Source organism: Homo sapiens, chromosome 19 (assembly GCF_000001405.40).
Source record: "Homo sapiens chromosome 19, GRCh38.p14 Primary Assembly".
Classification (NCBI taxonomy): Eukaryota; Metazoa; Chordata; class Mammalia; order Primates; family Hominidae; genus Homo; species Homo sapiens.
In genome coordinates this window covers 53,053,519-53,071,271 of record NC_000019.10, presented here as the reverse complement: position 1 = coordinate 53,071,271, position 17,753 = coordinate 53,053,519, and the positions used below count along the sequence as shown (strand labels likewise).

Genomic DNA, 17,753 nt, shown 5'->3' with positions numbered 1-17,753 from the left:
GCACCCTCAGCCTCTTGAGTATCCAGAATTGCAGGCACATGCCAGCATGCCAAACTAATTTTTTTATTTTTATTTTTTGACGGAGTCTTGCTTTGTCGCCCAGGTTGGAGTGCAGTGGCACGATCTCGGCTCACTGCAACCTCTGCCTCCCAGGTTCAAGCAATTCTCCTGCCTCAGCCTCCTGAGAAGCTGGGACTATAGGCGCATGCCACCACGCCTGACTAATTTTTGTATTTTTAGTAGAGATGGGGTTTCACCATGTTGGCCAAGCTGGACTCAATCTCCTGACCTCATGATCCACCCACCTTAGCCTCCCAAAGTGCTGGGATTACAGGCATAAGCCACCACACCTGGCCTAATTTTTAAATTATTTTGTTTTTGTAGAGATGGAGTCTTGCTGTGTTGCCCAGGCTGGTCTCAACCTCGTGGCCTCCTGTGATCCTCCCACCTTAGGCTCCCAAAGCATTGGGATTACAGGCATGAGCCACAACAGCCAGCCCTTCCCAAATATTTGAATTACATGTAACTGCATTTTCTTTGTTAAAAAATACTACTTTTGGCTGGGCACAGTGACTCACGCCTGTAATTCCAGCACTTTGGGAGGCCGAGGCAGGCGGCTCATGAGGTCAAGAGATCGAGACCATCCTGGCTAACATGGTGAAACCCCGTCTCTACTAAAAATACAAAAACAAAATTAGCCAGGCGTGGTGGCGGGCGCCTGTAGTCCCAGCTACTCAGGAGGCTGAGGCGGGAGAATGGTGTGAACCCGGGAGGCAGAGCTTGCAGTGAGCCAAGATCACACCACTGCACTCCAGCCTGGGCGACAGAGCGAGACTCCGTCTCAAAAAAAAAAAAACATTTTTGTTCCTAACAATTGAAATTCACAGTTCTGAAGTTCCAAAGTCTGTTCAATATAAGTATTACTTTTGGTGGAATATGTTTTCAATGTAAAATATTTATTTCTATACTGTAATTAATTGGAAATTATGTGGTTCTTTATATCTTGTAGATATCCCTCCTAAATGTACAATCAAGGATTTGCTACCAAAAGAGAAGAGCAGTACAGAAGCAGTATTCCACACAGTGGTGTTGGAAAGACACGAAAGCCCTGACATTGAAGACTTTTCCTTCAAGGAACCCCAGAAAAATGTGCATGATTTTGAGTGTCAATGGAGAGATGACACAGGAAATTACAAGGGAGTGCTTATGGCCCAGAAAGAAGGTAAAAGAGATCAACGCGACAGAAGAGACATAGAAAACAAGCTTATGAACAATCAGCTTGGAGTAAGCTTTCATTCTCATCTGCCTGAACTGCAGCTATTTCAAGGTGAGGGGAAAATGTATGAATGTAATCAAGTTGAGAAGTCTACCAACAATGGTTCCTCAGTGTCACCACTTCAACAAATTCCTTCTAGTGTCCAAACCCACAGGTCTAAAAAATATCATGAACTTAACCATTTTTCATTACTCACACAAAGACGAAAAGCAAACAGTTGTGGAAAACCTTATAAATGTAATGAATGTGGCAAGGCGTTCACTCAGAATTCGAACCTTACAAGTCATAGGAGAATTCATAGTGGAGAGAAGCCTTACAAATGCAGTGAGTGCGGCAAAACCTTTACTGTTCGTTCAAATCTAACTATTCATCAGGTCATCCATACTGGAGAAAAACCTTACAAATGTCATGAGTGTGGCAAGGTCTTCAGGCACAATTCATACCTTGCAACTCATCGGCGAATTCATACTGGAGAGAAACCTTACAAGTGTAATGAGTGTGGAAAAGCCTTTAGAGGACATTCAAACCTAACTACCCATCAGTTAATTCATACTGGAGAAAAACCGTTCAAATGTAATGAATGTGGCAAGCTCTTCACTCAAAATTCACACCTTATAAGTCATTGGAGAATTCACACTGGAGAGAAACCTTACAAGTGCAATGAGTGCGGCAAAGCCTTTAGTGTTCGTTCAAGCCTAGCAATCCATCAGACAATCCACACTGGAGAAAAACCTTACAAATGTAATGAATGTGGCAAAGTCTTTAGGTACAATTCATACCTCGGAAGGCATCGGAGAGTTCATACTGGTGAGAAACCTTACAAGTGTAATGAATGTGGCAAAGCCTTCAGTATGCATTCAAACCTAGCTACCCATCAGGTCATCCATACTGGAACAAAACCTTTCAAATGCAATGAATGCAGCAAGGTTTTCACTCAAAATTCACAACTTGCAAATCATCGAAGAATTCATACTGGAGAGAAACCTTACAAGTGTAATGAGTGTGGGAAAGCCTTCAGTGTTCGTTCAAGTCTGACTACCCATCAGGCAATCCATTCTGGAGAGAAACCTTACAAATGTATTGAATGTGGCAAGAGCTTCACTCAAAAATCACACCTTAGAAGTCATCGGGGAATTCATTCTGGAGAGAAACCTTACAAGTGTAATGAATGTGGTAAAGTCTTCGCTCAAACATCACAACTTGCAAGGCATTGGAGAGTTCATACTGGAGAAAAACCTTACAAGTGTAATGACTGTGGCAGAGCCTTTAGTGATCGTTCAAGCCTAACTTTTCATCAGGCAATACATACTGGAGAGAAACCTTACAAATGTCATGAATGCGGCAAGGTTTTTAGGCACAATTCATACCTTGCAACTCATCGGCGAATTCATACTGGAGAGAAACCTTACAAGTGTAATGAGTGTGGGAAAGCCTTTAGTATGCATTCAAACCTAACTACCCATAAGGTCATCCATACTGGAGAGAAGCCTTACAAATGTAATCAATGTGGCAAGGTCTTCACTCAGAACTCACACCTTGCAAATCATCAAAGGACTCACACCGGAGAGAAACCTTACCGATGCAATGAGTGTGGGAAAGCCTTCAGTGTTCGTTCAAGCCTAACCACCCATCAGGCAATCCATACTGGGAAAAAACCTTACAAATGTAATGAATGTGGCAAGGTCTTTACTCAAAATGCTCACCTGGCAAATCACCGAAGAATTCATACTGGGGAGAAACCTTACAGGTGTACAGAGTGTGGGAAAGCCTTTAGGGTAAGATCAAGTCTAACTACCCATATGGCAATCCACACTGGAGAAAAGCGTTACAAATGTAATGAGTGTGGCAAGGTCTTCAGGCAGAGTTCAAATCTTGCAAGTCATCACAGAATGCATACCGGAGAGAAACCTTACAAATGAGTGTGGTGAGGTCATTAGGTACAATTCACTCCTTTCACATCAGTTAATTTCATTCTTGACAGAATCCTTACAAATGTAGTGACAGTGGCCAATCCCTCATGAGTTGAAGCATTAATAGATATGAGAGGCCATAAGCAAGAGACATCATGTAAACATATGTGGCAGAGGGTCTATCCAGGCCTCGCAGGTTACTAGGCATCAAGATTTATATCTTTGATGAAACGAAACAAATGTAATATGCATCCTGAGGCCATTACCCAGTGACCGATGGTAAGTGAGGATTCCTAGGAGGAATAACAGTCTCTGGTTTCCCTGTTTGCCTTTGATATTATACACTGTAGAATACTCACAAGTCCAAATATGCTAAAAATTATATATTTTTAACTCACATACGAAAAGGTTGCAGGATATTTGTAGGCAGTCAGTTACCTTCACCTTATGAAATGTTTCACTGAGTTATTTGAGGTTTTTTGGAAAGCCTACTATTGCGTTTCAATGTGAACTTTGAAATCTTATTGTGCATCCTTACACACCTTCCATGGTGCTTTCTTGGAAAGATCATTGGGATGGAAGGATCATTGATTGGGTGAAGATCATTGATTAGGTGAAGGATTATTTCTATCCAATTTGTGAAGAAGGAGGACTTTGCTTTTAAAATTAAGTATCATCTGAATTAGCATTTGGGAGTGGCGAAAAACAATGTAAAACTATGATGTCACTCACCATTCTGATAATGTTCAGGGTGCCTTTCTCCTACCAGGAGAGTACTGTGGCTTAGAGGAAAGAAATGGTCTATCAACTGAACATGAAATGGAGCAGGCCAAGACCTTAGGACATTGGGATTTTTGTGGGAGGAGAGTAATAGGTAATTAGACACTGATTGTGTGGTAGAAATACTGCAGGGGAAAAGGTCGCCCTCTTATGCATCAAAGAGCAATACCTGTTGTTTAGCAAAGAGTGATGAAAAATTGATCTTGTTTTGAAATTGAAGAGAGAGGCCAGGCGCGGTGGCTCACACCTGTAATCCCAGCACTTTGGGAGGCTGAGGCAGGTGGATCACCTGAGGTCGGGAGTTCGAGACCAGCCTGACCAACATGGAGAAACCCCAATTGTACTAAAAATACAAAATTAGCCGGGCGTGGTGGCAGGTGCCTGTAATCCCAGCTACTTGGGAGGCTGAGGCAGGAGAGTGCTTGAACCCAGGAGGCGGAGGTTGTGGTGAGCCAAGATCATGCCACTGCACTCCAGCCTGGGCAACAAGAACAAAACTCCATCTAAAGAAGAAAAAGAAAAACTGAAGAGAGAGTAGTTGTCAGAGTGAAGAGTTTAATCAACAGAAGTAGAGTAACATATTCTTTAGTAGAACTCACATTATCTGCTTGAAGCACATTTTGCTAATGTTTTATTCAGAATGTATCATAGATATAATGTTTTAACTAATAAAATAGAATGGTTTTTCTCTATGAATGAATCACATTCTTTCTGCCAACATAGTTTTATCCTGTCTCAGTAGGATACTCCATAACACAATAGCAGTACACCACTAGGCTCTTAAACGATCAAGAACAATTTTTTTCATGGTGAAATCAAATAACGCAGTTTTGGAAACCTATAACCGCATTTTGTGCTTGAATTACGTGCCCCACACTGTGGCTTAGGATACTTATTGGGGTATAATGAAAATCTTACTGAAAGTTAATTTCACATTCTTACACCCCAAAATCTGCATTGCCATTGATGCATATGCACCACATTATTATATTTCCACATCAGTTTCTTGTGTGCCAAATAAGACCCATGCTTTGCATCTTGGTTTCCATGAAGTGAAAATACATAGTAAGAATGCGAGAAATATAAATCAGGCCAGGCACGGTGGCTCACACCTGTAATCCCAGTACTTTGGGAGGCCAAGGCAAGCAGATCACCTGAAGTCAGGAGAGACCAGCCTGGCCAGCATAGTGAAACCCCATCTCTACTAAAAATACAAACTTAGCTGGGCTTAGTGGTGCATGCCTGTAGTCTCAGCTACTTGGGAGGCTGAGGCAGGAGAATTGCTTGAATCCAAGAGGCAGAGGTTCTATTAATGGAGATCATTCCATTACACTCCAGCCTGGGCACCAGGAACGAAACTCGTTCTCAAAAAACAAAACAAAAAAAAAAAAAACGTTGGCTGGGCATGGTGGCTCACGCCTGTAATCCCAACAATTTGGGAGGCTGAGGCAGGTGGATTACTTAAGGTCAGGAGTTCAAGACCAGACTGGCCAACATGGTGAAACCCTGTCTCTACTAAAAATGCAAAAACATTAGCTGGGTGTGGTGGTGCATGCCTGTAAATCCCAGCTACTTGGGAGGCTGAGGCAGGAGAATGGCTTGAACCCAGGTGGTGGAGGCTGCAGTGAGCTGAGATCACGCCATCGCACTCCAGCCTGGGCAACAAGAGCAAAACTCCATCTCAAAAAAAAAAAAAAAAAAAGTGGAGAATAATAAAACCTCCTTCATGATGTTCTTGGAATATTGATATAATTTGAAAAGATTAATGTTCATGAGTTTCCTCTTAAGAGTGAATATAGAAAATGAGAATTTTATTTTGTTCTGGTAGATAAACTAGGAACATGTATGTTTGCTTATCACACACGCATGACTCTCCCATAACCTATTGAGTATGTTTACTTAATATCCAACATATTGCTATTCAGTATAAATTCCTGCCGCAACTTTCCTCCTCTGAACTGCCTGTGTTGTTTCTGGTAGAGACCATGCTTCCCAGCCTGCAGGCTGCAACCCTGTGTAAGAAATAAAGGTCTCCTTACTAGACATTTTTTGACCTTTGGTCAGTGCTGGTTAGGGTTTCTTGGTGGACACTCTGCAGCATCCTGAAGCAATGTAGCACATCATTGTGAGAGCACTGAGTATGCTGTTTGCTCAGGTCTCTCTTCTTCCTATAAAACCACCACTTCTGCTCCCATGATAACACAGTCCATTAATCTGTGCATGGATTGATTCATTCATGACAGCAGAGCTCTCATGATCCAATGACCTCTTAAAGGCCCCACTTCTCAATATGGCCACACCGGGGATCAAGTTTCCAAATGAGTTTTGTTGGGGATATTCAAACCAGAGGAGTATTGTATTTTATTTTCAATTTCCATGTATTAATTGCTAGTATATAGAAATAAAGTAGTTTTTGTATGTTAATTTGGTAGTCTATTTCCTTAAAATCTCGTTCTCCAGATTTTTTAGATTTCTTAGGGTTTTCTACATAAACTTAATTTCCCATTGCTGCTGTAACAATTACCACAAAGTGAGTGGCTTAAAACAACACAAATTTAGGCTGGGCATGGTGGCTCACGCCTGTAATCCCAGTACTTTGGGAGGCCGAGGCAGGTGGATCATGAGGTCAGGAGTTTGAGACCAGCCTGGCCAAGATGGCGAAACCCCATCTCTACTAAAACTACAGAAATTAGCTGGGTGCGGTGGCGCGTGCCTGTAATCCCAGCTACTCAGGAGGCTGAGGCTGGAGAATTGCTTGAGGCGGAGGTTTCAGTGAGCCAAGTTCATGCCACCGCACTCTAGTCTGGGCGACAGAGCAAGACTCTGTCTCAAAAAAAAAAAAAAAAAAAAACCCACAAATTTATGCTGTTAATGTGTGGTGGTCAGAAGTCAGGTTTACAGAACTATGATCCTTCTTGACTCTCTAGGGGAGAGTTTATTTCTTTACCCCTGCTAGGTCCAGAGGCCACTTAGATCCTTTACCTCATGGTCTACGTCCCTCCGTTTTCACAGCCAGAAGGTAGTGTCATAAAATCTCTTTGTCTCTTTGCTATGCAAGCATTGTCAATTCTCTGTGATTCTAAGTCCATCTGTATTTTTCCTATATGGACTCTTGTGATTATGTTGCTTCAACCAGATAATCCTGGATATTCTGCCATCTCAAGATCCTCAGCCAGATCACATCTGCAAACTCTGATTTGAGATACCATGTAATACAGGGTATAGGGCTATTGATACGGAAATCCTTTGTGTGTGTATCTTTGGGGGTGGGGGTCATTAGCTTACCACAACCATCTCATCGTGTACAGTATTATGCCTTCCTTTTTGGTCTCTATTATTTTTCTTATTTCAATTACTAGTATTATTATTTTCTAGATGGGGTCTTGCTTTGTTACCCAGGCTGGAGTGCAGTGGTGCAGTCAGACCTTACTGCAGTCTTGAACATTTGGGTTCAAGGGATCCTCCTGCCTCAGCTTTCCAAAGTGCTTAAATTACAGGCGTGAGCCACCTCGCCCAGCCACCAGCCAATTTTCAATTTTTTTTTTTTGTAGAGATAGATAGGGTCTCCCCATCTTGCCCAGTCTGGTCTCAAATTCCTGGACTCAATCAGTCCTCCTGCCTCAGCCTCCCAAAGTGTTGGGATTACAGACATGAGCCACTACCCTCAGCCAAGAATTGCTAACACTATGTGGAATAGAAGTGGTAAGAGTGTACGTCTTTGCCTTGTCCCCAACCCTGGGAAGGAAACTTTCACTTTTTGACCATGATATATGATGTTTGCTGTAAGGTTTTGTAGGCACCATATTGAGGAAGTTTTCCAACATACTGTTTTCCATAGTGGGTGTGCCATTGTGCATTCCCACTGCCAAGCGTAGGAGGATTACAGACTCTCCTTGCCTGTGAAGTAGGTTCACTTCGCACTGGTTACCGAATGTCTGACTCCAGTGAGACAGAACCCATGCACACAAGTTCAATAAAGTGAGTTGACTACTGACAGGCAACAAGGGGCAGTAGAAGCCTAGGACTGATTCATTGCAAGCTGGTCCCCCAAGGCTCAGGAAAACTGCTTGGGGAAGATGGAGTCTCATCTACTGGTGTCCCACCGGCACTGATGCTGAGGGACCCCAGAGAGCACCCACCCTAGGTTTTATGGCACATGGCCTCGTGATGAGCCGCCCTAAAGCACTGAAGGACATCCTGTTCTTTGAAAGGGGGGCAGGGGGCTCTGGAATGGAGCCCGGCTGCTTTGGCCAGTTTCTTCATATTTCAGGGTGTTACCTTCAGAATAACATTCTGAAGTTATTCTTGAGAACTACAAGCAAGGAAGGGGAGAAAAATAAGGTTGTTCCTTTAATGTATACATCCCACGGTACCTTACTTCTACAAAACCAAAAGACAGCTCAGGAAGCCTTATCAAATTTGCTGTCTCCACATCTCCTGTTGGAACTTTCAAGTGCCAATTAACAGTATCAAGTTAATTAAGAAGAGAATGGATGGGGGAAAATAGTTGAGATTCAAAGGACTTCTCCTCATGAAGGTGGAAATTTTAAAATCGTCATTAAGAAAAAAGGTGAATAAAGCAAGCATTCACAGGCTGGGTATGGTGACTCACACCTGCAATCCCAGCACTTTGGGAGGCCGAGGCGGGTGGATCCCTTGAGGTCAGGAGGTCGAGACCAGCTTGGCCTACACAGTGAAACCCTGTCTCTACTAAAAATACAAAACAATTAGCTGGGTGTGGTGGCGCACACCTGTAATCCCAGCTACTCTGGAGGCTGAGGCAGGAGAATGGCTTGAACCTGGAATGGGGAGCTTGCAGTGAGCCAAGATCGTGCCACTGCACTCCTCCAGTCTGGGCGACAGAGCGAGACTCCGTCTCAAAAAAAAAAAAAAGCATTCATAAAATGAAACTAAGCGGGGAAAGGTAGGGGAGAGTCATGGCTCTCCTCCCAGCAGAGTGGAAATCTTTAGATGGTAATTAAGAAATGGGATGACCAGCCTGGGCAACATGGCGAAACCCTGTTTTACAAAAAAATACAAAAATTAGTCAGGTGTGGTGGTGAACTTCTGTGGGCCCAGCTAACTCAGGAGGCCAGGATGGGAGGATCACTTGAGCCCAGGAGTTTGAGGCTGCAGTGAGCAGTGATTGGACAACTGCACTCCAACCTGGGTGAGAGAGCGAGAGCCTGTCTCAAAAAAAAAAAAAAAAAAAACGGGATGAGTAAAATGGAAATGGAAATTGATGAAGTTGAAACAAAGGTCTTAATACAACAGTTTCGAAGATTGGGTGAACCAAAGGAGCCCCTGGCTGTCCTGCAGCATTAAAGGGTTCCACACAAGTCTGCATGGCTCATGAGTCATGAAAATGTGATGAGATATGGTGGTGGACGTGGCCTGCAGGGCCATTACCAATGCATGCAGTTTGGCTAATTAGGCAGAATGTCTATGTCTAGTCTTAGTCAAGAATGGCCATCCACTGGCTGAATGGCCATTCACTGGGTCAAAGAATGGCCATCCACTGGGCTGAAGCCCAGTAGACCCTGTGTGTTTATTGTTTTGCAGAGACATCAGTAAACCATGCCATACACTTGGTGGGCATATATGTGAATCTTGGGTCCCAGGTAGCCACAAGAGGAGCCAGAGGATCCTTTAAGGACTGTTTGACCCCTTCTTGTAAGCTACCCATTTGTTCATGGAGTATACTGGTCCCTTGAGGTTCTGCTGTGCCTCATCTTGAATATGCCAGTTCCATTTTATAGTTGAGCTCTATTGAGCCTGTCCAATTTTATCGATAAGGTTTGTGAGCACCCGAGTGAGAATGGGCAGTTCATGTTACAGGGTGACACAGAGCTCTGGCTATAAGATGCACCGTTCCCACCAGTGTCCAACAGCAAGCAAGGAGTTACGTTGAAGAGGTATATATGTGGTGGGTAGCTCAGGTAACTTACATGTCCAAAACCCAACGAGGTTGATTCACGCACTGTGTTTTCGGGCTTTAAGTAGCCAGGGGTGTGGCCCAGCCAAAACAGGGAAGGGGGTGATGGAGTGTCTCCTAGGTAGCTTGCTCCCAGGAGGTAGGGAGCTGCAGTAGCTCAGTTGGGAAATGGTGGACAGGTGTGAGCCACTGCACCTGGTCTACATGAGCTCTTTATTTTTTCCTCCTCTTTTTTTTTTTTTTCTTTTTTTTTTTTGGTAGAGATGGGGTTTCATCATGTTGCCCAGGCTGGTCTTGAACTCCTGAGCTCAAGTAATCCATCTGCCTTGGCCTCCCGAAGTGCTGGGATTACAAGCATGAGCCAACATACCCGGCCATACACAAGCTCTTTCTATGGAACGGTACAGGGCCGGGTGAGGTGGCTCATGCCTGTAATCCCAGCAATTTGGGAGGCCAAGGCAGGTGGATCATTTGAGGCCAGGAGTTCGAGACCAGCCTGACCAACATGATGAAACCCCGTCTCTACTAAATACAAAAAAAATTAGCCGGGCGTTGTGGCACATGCCTGTAATCCCAGCTACTTGGGACGCTGAGGCAGGAGAATCACTTGAACCAAAGAGGTGGAGGTTGCAGTGAGCCGAGATTGCACAAGTGCACTTCAGCCTGGGCAACAGAGTGAACCTTTGTCTCAAAAAATAATAATAATAAAAAAATAAAGGAATAGTGCAGCTGTGTGAACTCCAGGTAGCTTAGGAGAATTTTAACAGAAGACGAAACATGGCTTTACCAGTACAATGCTGAAAAAACCACAATCAAAGCAATGGTTACCAAGAGGTGGAAATAGTCCAGTCAAAGCAAAAGGCTGACCAGTGAACCTTGGCTCTGTGGCACACACCTGTAATCCCAGCATTCTGGGAGATGGAGGCAGAATGATTGCTTGAGCCTAGGAGTTCAAGACCAGCCTAGGTAACATAAGGAGACTCTGTATCTACAAAAAATTATAAAACAATTAGCCAGGCATGGTGTTGTGTGCCTGTGGTTCCAGCTACTTGAGAGGCTGAGGTAGGAGGATCACTTAAGCCCAGGAGGTAAAAGTTGTGGTGCACCATGATTGCGCCACTGCACTCCAGCCTGGGCAACAGAGTGAGACTCTTTCTCAATAATTAATTAATTAAAATAAGCTGAGCGGTGAAGAACAAAGTTCATGGCAATAGTTTTTTTTTTTTTTTTTTTTTTTTTTTTTGGCGGTGGGGGATGCACAAGGCATTTTGCTTGTCGACTTTCTAGAGGGACATAGAATAACACTTATTTATTTTTAGAGCATTTTTGAGAAAGTTACCCAAAGCTTTAGCAGAAAAATGTCCAGGGAAACTTCACCAGCGTCCCTCTCCACCATGACAATGTTCCTGGTCATTCCTCTAATTAAACAACGGCAGTTTTGCAACAGTGGGTTGCAATGAGAAATCATTAGGCATCCACCTTACAGACCTGATTTGGCTGCTTCTGACGTCTGTTTCCTAATCTTAAAAAGAAAAAAAAAAAAAAAGTGCCGGGCGCAGTGACTTACGCCTGTAATCCCAGCACTTTGGAAGGCTGAGGCGGGTGGAACACCTGAAGTTGGGGGTTCCAGACCAGCCTGTCCAACATGGAGAAACCCTGTCTCTACTAAAAATACAAAATAGCCAGGTGTGGTGGTCAGCTACTCGGGAGGCTGAGGCAGGAGAATCGCTTGAACCCGGGGGGCGGAGGTTGCAGTGAGCCGAGATCGCGCCATTGCACTCCAGCCTGGGCAACAACAGCGAAACTCAATCTCAAAAAAAAAAAAAAAAAAAAAGTTTAGATATTATCGATTTAAGCATAGTATGATTTAAAGAAAGTTTATCTCGGCCGGGCTCCTTGGCTGATGCCTGTCATCCCAGCACTTTGGGAGGCCGAGGTGGGCGCATCACTTGAGGTCAGGAGTTTGAGACCAGCTTGGCCAACATAGTGAAACCCCGTCTCCACTAAAAACAAAAATTAGCCGGGCGTGGTGGCACGCGCCTGTAATCCCAGCTAGTCCAGAGGCTGAGGCAGGAGAATCGCTTGAGCTTGGGAGGCAGAGGTTGCAGTGAACCGAGATCGCGCCATTGTATTCCAGGAGCCTGGGGGACAGAGCGAGACTCCATCTCAAAAAAAAAAAAAAAAAGTTTATCTCAAAGTTATTTGAGGTTTTGTCAACCGTGGAACCGAATAACAAGTATAAGGAAGAACAATACAATTCATATCTATTTTTTTTTAAAAGTTATTGCGTGTTTTAAAGCAGCAGTTGGTGATCTGGCTTACTGCGGGTTTTAGCCTTCCACGGTCCACAGCCCACGGTCCAGGTGTTGTCCTATAAAAGTCTCTGGAAGCACAGACTTGACTCTTCCCCTGAGATAGGTATGGGATAGAAATGGAAAGGAGGATCCTTTGGGCAATAGCATTACGTATCACATTTGTTCCGGGCAGTTTTGCATTTCACAGTCTAGTTTGCAACCCCTTCACAGATAATTTCAGGGCTTTTAAAGTAAGTTACTCCAATTAATTTGAATTGCAGGAACTTTCCTGGATCCAATCACTCACTGCTCCTCCTGGACCCCCCTCCCCCCACCGAATTCGCAGTTCCCAGACCGCTGAGCTGCAGGAGACTCCCTAGCAGGATCGGGTCCAACCTGCTGGCAAAAATAGTTTTGAGATAAACCGTTTTCATCTTGGTGGGAAGAAAACATTTTGCTTTCCAACAGAAGGGGCCCACACAACTCTATGCTTTTTACCTTACAACTGCACAGGCCCCGCCCCCGCGGTCCCTCTGCAGACCCCGCCTCTCCCCGGGCTCCGCCCCAGGCTACCCGGGCTCTGCGCGCACGTGCAGTTTCTTGGAGTCCCGGAAGCGGATCGCGGTGTGTGAAGGTGACACCGCCGAGCAAGAGTGTGCCTAGGTGTAGATTAAGCCTTCGATTCGCCGTCCCGCTTTTCCACACCCGCTCTGCTGACCTTAAAATCCCCGCATCGCGCCCTTCACCCGAGGTAAATACGGACCTCGCCATGTGGGTAAAACTCGCTCTGAGACCAGTCCCTGTCCCCTGCCATTCGCGTCTTCTTCCCGCATAAAACCCTTTCCTGACCCCTCCTCCCGCCCCGCGCTTTTTAAAGTCCTCACCTGCGAGGTGGATTCCCGTCCTGAGCGCCTCCCAGCCTCTCCGTCGTCGGCCCTGGAGCGCAGCGCCGCAGACCGCGTCCTCCGCCTGGTCCTAGGCTCCTGCAGACCCTACCCTGTCCTAAGGCGCCGTCGCCCCCCACCTCCCTCCTCCTCGTGCCGGGCCCTGCTGCTCCCCAGGCCTCCCCTTCGCAGTCACCGCTTCCCCTGCGCCCGCGTTGGGGAGGTGCCCGGGGCCTGTCCTGTGACACCCGGTGTTCTTGCCTGCCCAGCTCCACCCGCTGGAAAATGTGCTCCTCCAGGATCCAGGTGTCTTACTCCAAACCCTCCTGTGAATGTGTGGGCCAAAGGGATCAGGAAACAGAGAGGGGCTGAGAGTGAATTACAAAAACTGAGAGGAAAGAATGAAGGAAACCCATAAACACATGGCAAAGTAGAGGATGGGTCGGGATTCGCAGAGACGGGAAGAGCGAAAGAAGGATCCAGGCGCGGTGGCTCACGCCTGTAATCCCAGCACTTTGGGAGGCCGAGGCGGGTGGATCATTTGAGGTCAGGAGTTCGAGACCAGCGTGCCCAACATGGTGAAACCCCCGTCTCTACTAAAAATTAGCCGGATGTGGTGCTGCACGCCTGTAATCTCAGCTACTCTGAGGGTGAGGCAGGCAAATCGCTTGATCCCGAGAGAGGGAGGTTGCAGTCATCGGAGATCGCGCCACTGCACTCCAGCCTGGGCGAGAGAGCAAGACTCCACGTCAAAAATGTTTTTAATTAAAAAAAATAAAAATGTATTTCTCTTAATTTTCTTCTTGCCTCCCTGATCACTTTACACTTTTCTCTTCTAGTATGTCTTGAGCTCTGTTTTCTGAATGTGGAGTGACCCTCAGCTTACCCCTCGGACTTCTGATCTCTGCCCACACCCACTGCCCTTATCATCTCATCTCATGGCTTTAAACCCACCTACACGGCTCCATGTTCCCTGCAGACCTCTCCCCTGAACACTGGAATCCTGTGTCCAATTGTCTCTTCAACTCTCCTCTGGGAGTCCAGCAGGCATCTGGGGCATTTTGCAGGCACACCTCTGGTGCCCCCTTACCTGAAGTTTTCATTCAAATACATTGGGACGTGTCCTTAATAATATTTAAAGGTGATTCCATGGGTGTCCAGCATTGAGCACCCAGGCTCCGCCCTTTGTTTCTAAGGGCTGAAATCAGCCTGTGATCCACAGATGGGTGAGGGGGGCTGTGCTCTGCATGGGGTTTGGTCAGGGCTGGGTCTGTGTCCTGAAGAGAAGCTCAGTCCAGCCCAGCTTCCCACGGCTGCAGTGTGTGTGTGGGCTTCTCTGGGAGGGGAGCGGGTTCTGAAGAAATGGGCCCAAAACTCACCTGTTGGTCTTCCTGTAGGAGCCTGTCGTCCCTGTGTTCCATCTGGTGCAATGACTCCCAGAGAACTGGCTTTCCACAGTGAGGGCTTCCCTGAATGGGTGTTTGAGGCACAAAAATGAGGGTGTTGATTCCAGTCATTAAATGGCATATTTTAGACATTCAGGATCGACTTGTAAAGGCTTTTTCATGTTACCCAAGGAAGATGCCTAGAAGAGGAAGAAAAGGAAACAGGGATGGCTCTTACTCAGGTAAAGTAATAGTATCGGTTGATTTTTATTTCTCTTATTTCTGAAATTGTTACAGGTGGTGAATCCCTATCCGTACAGGTCTGCACCAACCTCAATTCTTGCCTCCTCAGAAGAAAAAATTCAACTGAGGGGCATAGGGCAGAAGGAGAGACTGAGGCAAGTTTTAGAGCAGGAATGAAAGCAAAAGTTTATTAAAAAGTTTTAGAGCAGGGCCGGGCGCGGTGTCTCATGCCTATAATCCTAGCACTTTGGGAGGCCAAGGCGGCAGATCATGTGAGGTCGAGAGTCCGAGACCAGCCTGACCTGAGGCGGCAGATCACTTGAGGTCTCGAGTTCGAGATCAGCCTGACCTGAGGCTGAGACAGAAGAATCGCTTGAACGTGGGAGGCGGAGGTTGTAGTGAGCCGAGATGGCGCCATTTCACTCCAGCCTAGGCAACAAGAGCAAAACTCCGTCTCAAAAATAAATGAATGAATGAATGAATGAATGAATGAATAAAAAGTTTTAGAGCAGAAATGGCCAGGCGCAGTGGCTCACACCTGTAATCTCAATGCTTTGGTAGGCTGAGATGGGCGTATCACTTGAGTCCAGCAGTTCAAAACCAGCCTGGGCAACATGGCAAAACCCCATCTCTACAAAAAAGATAAAAATTAGCCGGGTGTGGTGGTGCATGGCTGTAATCCCAGCTACTTGGGAGGCTGAGGCAGGAGAATCTTTTGAGCCCAGGATGTGGAGGTTGGCAGTGAGCCAAGATGATGTCATCGCACTCCAGCCTGAGTGACACAGCAAGGCCTTGTCTCAAAAAAAAAAAAAAAAAAAAAGAAAAGAAAAGAAAAGAAAAAAAGCTTTAGAGCAGAAATGAAAGGAAGGAAAGTACAGTTGGAAGACGGCCAAGTGCCAAGTGGGTGACTTGAAAGGCAAGTGTGCACTTCGACCTTTTGACTTGGGGTTTTATACATTGGTATACTTCCGGGGTCTTGCTTCCCTGATTCTTCCCTTGGGGTGGGCTGTCCGCATGTGCGTGCTTGAGTCCACTCGCCCAACTCCTGAGATCTCATGGGAAGCAGCAGATCACCAGTTTCAGGTGTTTTCTGTGTGTGAGGAGCCTGCCTTTCCCTGGTGCCAGCTGTGACTATTATTTTACATGTTTAACAACCACCTGACCATCATCTGATAGTTGCCTGACATTCCTGATGTGTGTGTATGGGGAGGGGGAGCCCTCTCCTGCCCTGCCCTGCTCTGCTCATACCAGAGGAGTTACCTACAATAACAAAATGTCATTCTTTGGAGTTGCAAGTCTTTGAGTCTGAAGCATCCTGCCTGACATATTTGCTCACTCACCCATGCGGTCCCTCAGTCCCTCTTATCTCACTTACATTCCATTGCCCGTGACCTAGTGACATGAACTTGGGAAGAAGCTCCACTGGGGCCTGGATTGGAGATGGGGTGTGGGCCCCCTAATATTATGTTGAGGACTTTTTCACCAATATTTTCAGGGATATTGGTCTAAGGTTTTGTTTTCTTGTCGTATATTTGTGTGGGTTGTATGCTGGGCAGCAGGGATTGTTTAGGGGCCACATCTGGATGCATGCCACCTCTTTGCAGAACAGGATTCAAGAAACTGCCCATGAAGTCAAATATTACTGTGCACAAGTTCCTGCTAAATGCTTTAAAATTAGAACACTAAGGGGAAAGCATTCCTGCCTCGTTTATGTTATGTTTGAAACTCTACAAGTGAGTCACTGTGTTTCTGATTCCAAATTCTTTTTTATTTTTATTTTTATTTTTTTGAGACGGAGTCTCGCTCTGTCACCCAGCCTGGAGTGCAGTGGCTCGATCTTGGCTCACTGCAAGCTCCGCCTCCCAGGTTCACGCCATTCTCCTGCCTCAGCCTCCCGAGTAGCTGGGATTACAGGTGCCCGCCACCACGCCTGGCTAATTTTTTGTATTTTTAGTAGAGACGGGGTTTCACCGTGCTAGCCAGGATGGTCTCAATCTTCTGACCTCGTGATTTGCCTGCCTCGGCCTCCCAAAGTGCTGGGATTACAGGCGTGAGCCACCGCGCCTGGTCTTCTGACTCCAAATTCTTCATGACTGGGAATGGAATGGAAAGCTGAGACACAGACATCAGTGATAAGATGCTTTCATCTCATTACCCATTTTAAGATATGAAGTCCATGTAAATGTCAAACAGCAAATGTTAAACTATTTGCAGATAGTCCAGAACACAGACCACAGTCTGTGTATTCCTGGAGGAGCGCCTGTGAAATGTGTTTTTGGTGAAAATGGTTATCATTGTTCTCAGACAGAGGATCAGAACTTCTTTGCCATCGGAGAGGATGGAACCATTTTTTAACCCAGTAATTATTAAATATTCGACTTATTTAAACATCACATGATTAATGTATTTGTTTTATAGTAAACCCCCAACATACGGCTTAGGCACCAAGATGTTTCTGTTCAGCTTTCCTTCCTCCTGCTCGTCGCAGCGGAGAACCATTGTTCTCAGTGTTAATTTGTTATTAAATGTTCAGTAGAATTATGCAGTGATTACAAATTACGTGTCTATACTTGGTCTCTTTTGTTGGGACATTTTCATTACTACTTTAGTGTTATTTATAGGCATGTACAGATTTTTACAATTTATTTTTGATTCAGTGATGGTAAGTTATATATTTCTTTTTTTTTTCTTTTTCTTTTTCTTTTCTTTTTTTGAGACAAAGTACCACTCTGTCGCCCACGCTGGAATGCAATGGCGTGATCTCGGCTCACTACAACCTCTGCCTTCCAGGTTCAAGCAATTCTCTTGCCTCAGCCTCCTAAGTTGCTGGGATTACAGGCACGCACCACCATCCCTGTCTAATTTTTGTATTTTTAGTAGAGACGGGGTTTCACCATGTTCGTCAGGCTGGTCTTGAACTCCTGATCTTGTGATCCACCCGCCTCAGCCTCCCAAAGTACTGGGATTACAGGCGTGAGCCACTGCGCCTGGCAGTAAGTTATATATTTCTAGAGATTTATTCATTCTGCATTATCTTACTTTATTG

General features: G+C 45.5%; 1 protein-coding gene and 1 long non-coding RNA gene across 43 annotated transcripts in view; both read left to right on the top strand.

The window, feature by feature from the left end:
• The window catches only part of ZNF160 (zinc finger protein 160), a 36,809-nt gene extending 32,151 nt beyond the window's left edge, over window positions 1-4,658 (top strand). For all 42 annotated transcript variants that reach the window (NM_001322135.2, XM_047439638.1, XM_047439632.1 and 39 more), the window contains one exon: window positions 1,010-4,658. In NM_001322135.2, the coding sequence (NP_001309064.1) occupies window positions 1,010-3,195 (2,186 nt within the window). In that variant the 3' untranslated portion in view covers window positions 3,196-4,658. The remainder of the gene's footprint in view (window positions 1-1,009) is intronic.
• A 7,393-nt stretch (window positions 4,659-12,051) lies between these two features.
• LOC124904762 (uncharacterized) lies at window positions 12,052-13,874 on the top strand. The gene is made up of 2 exons (XR_007067330.1): window positions 12,052-12,946; window positions 13,687-13,874. It is a non-coding gene; the product is annotated as an uncharacterized LOC124904762 (long non-coding RNA).
• The last annotated feature ends 3,879 nt before the right edge of the window (window positions 13,875-17,753 follow it).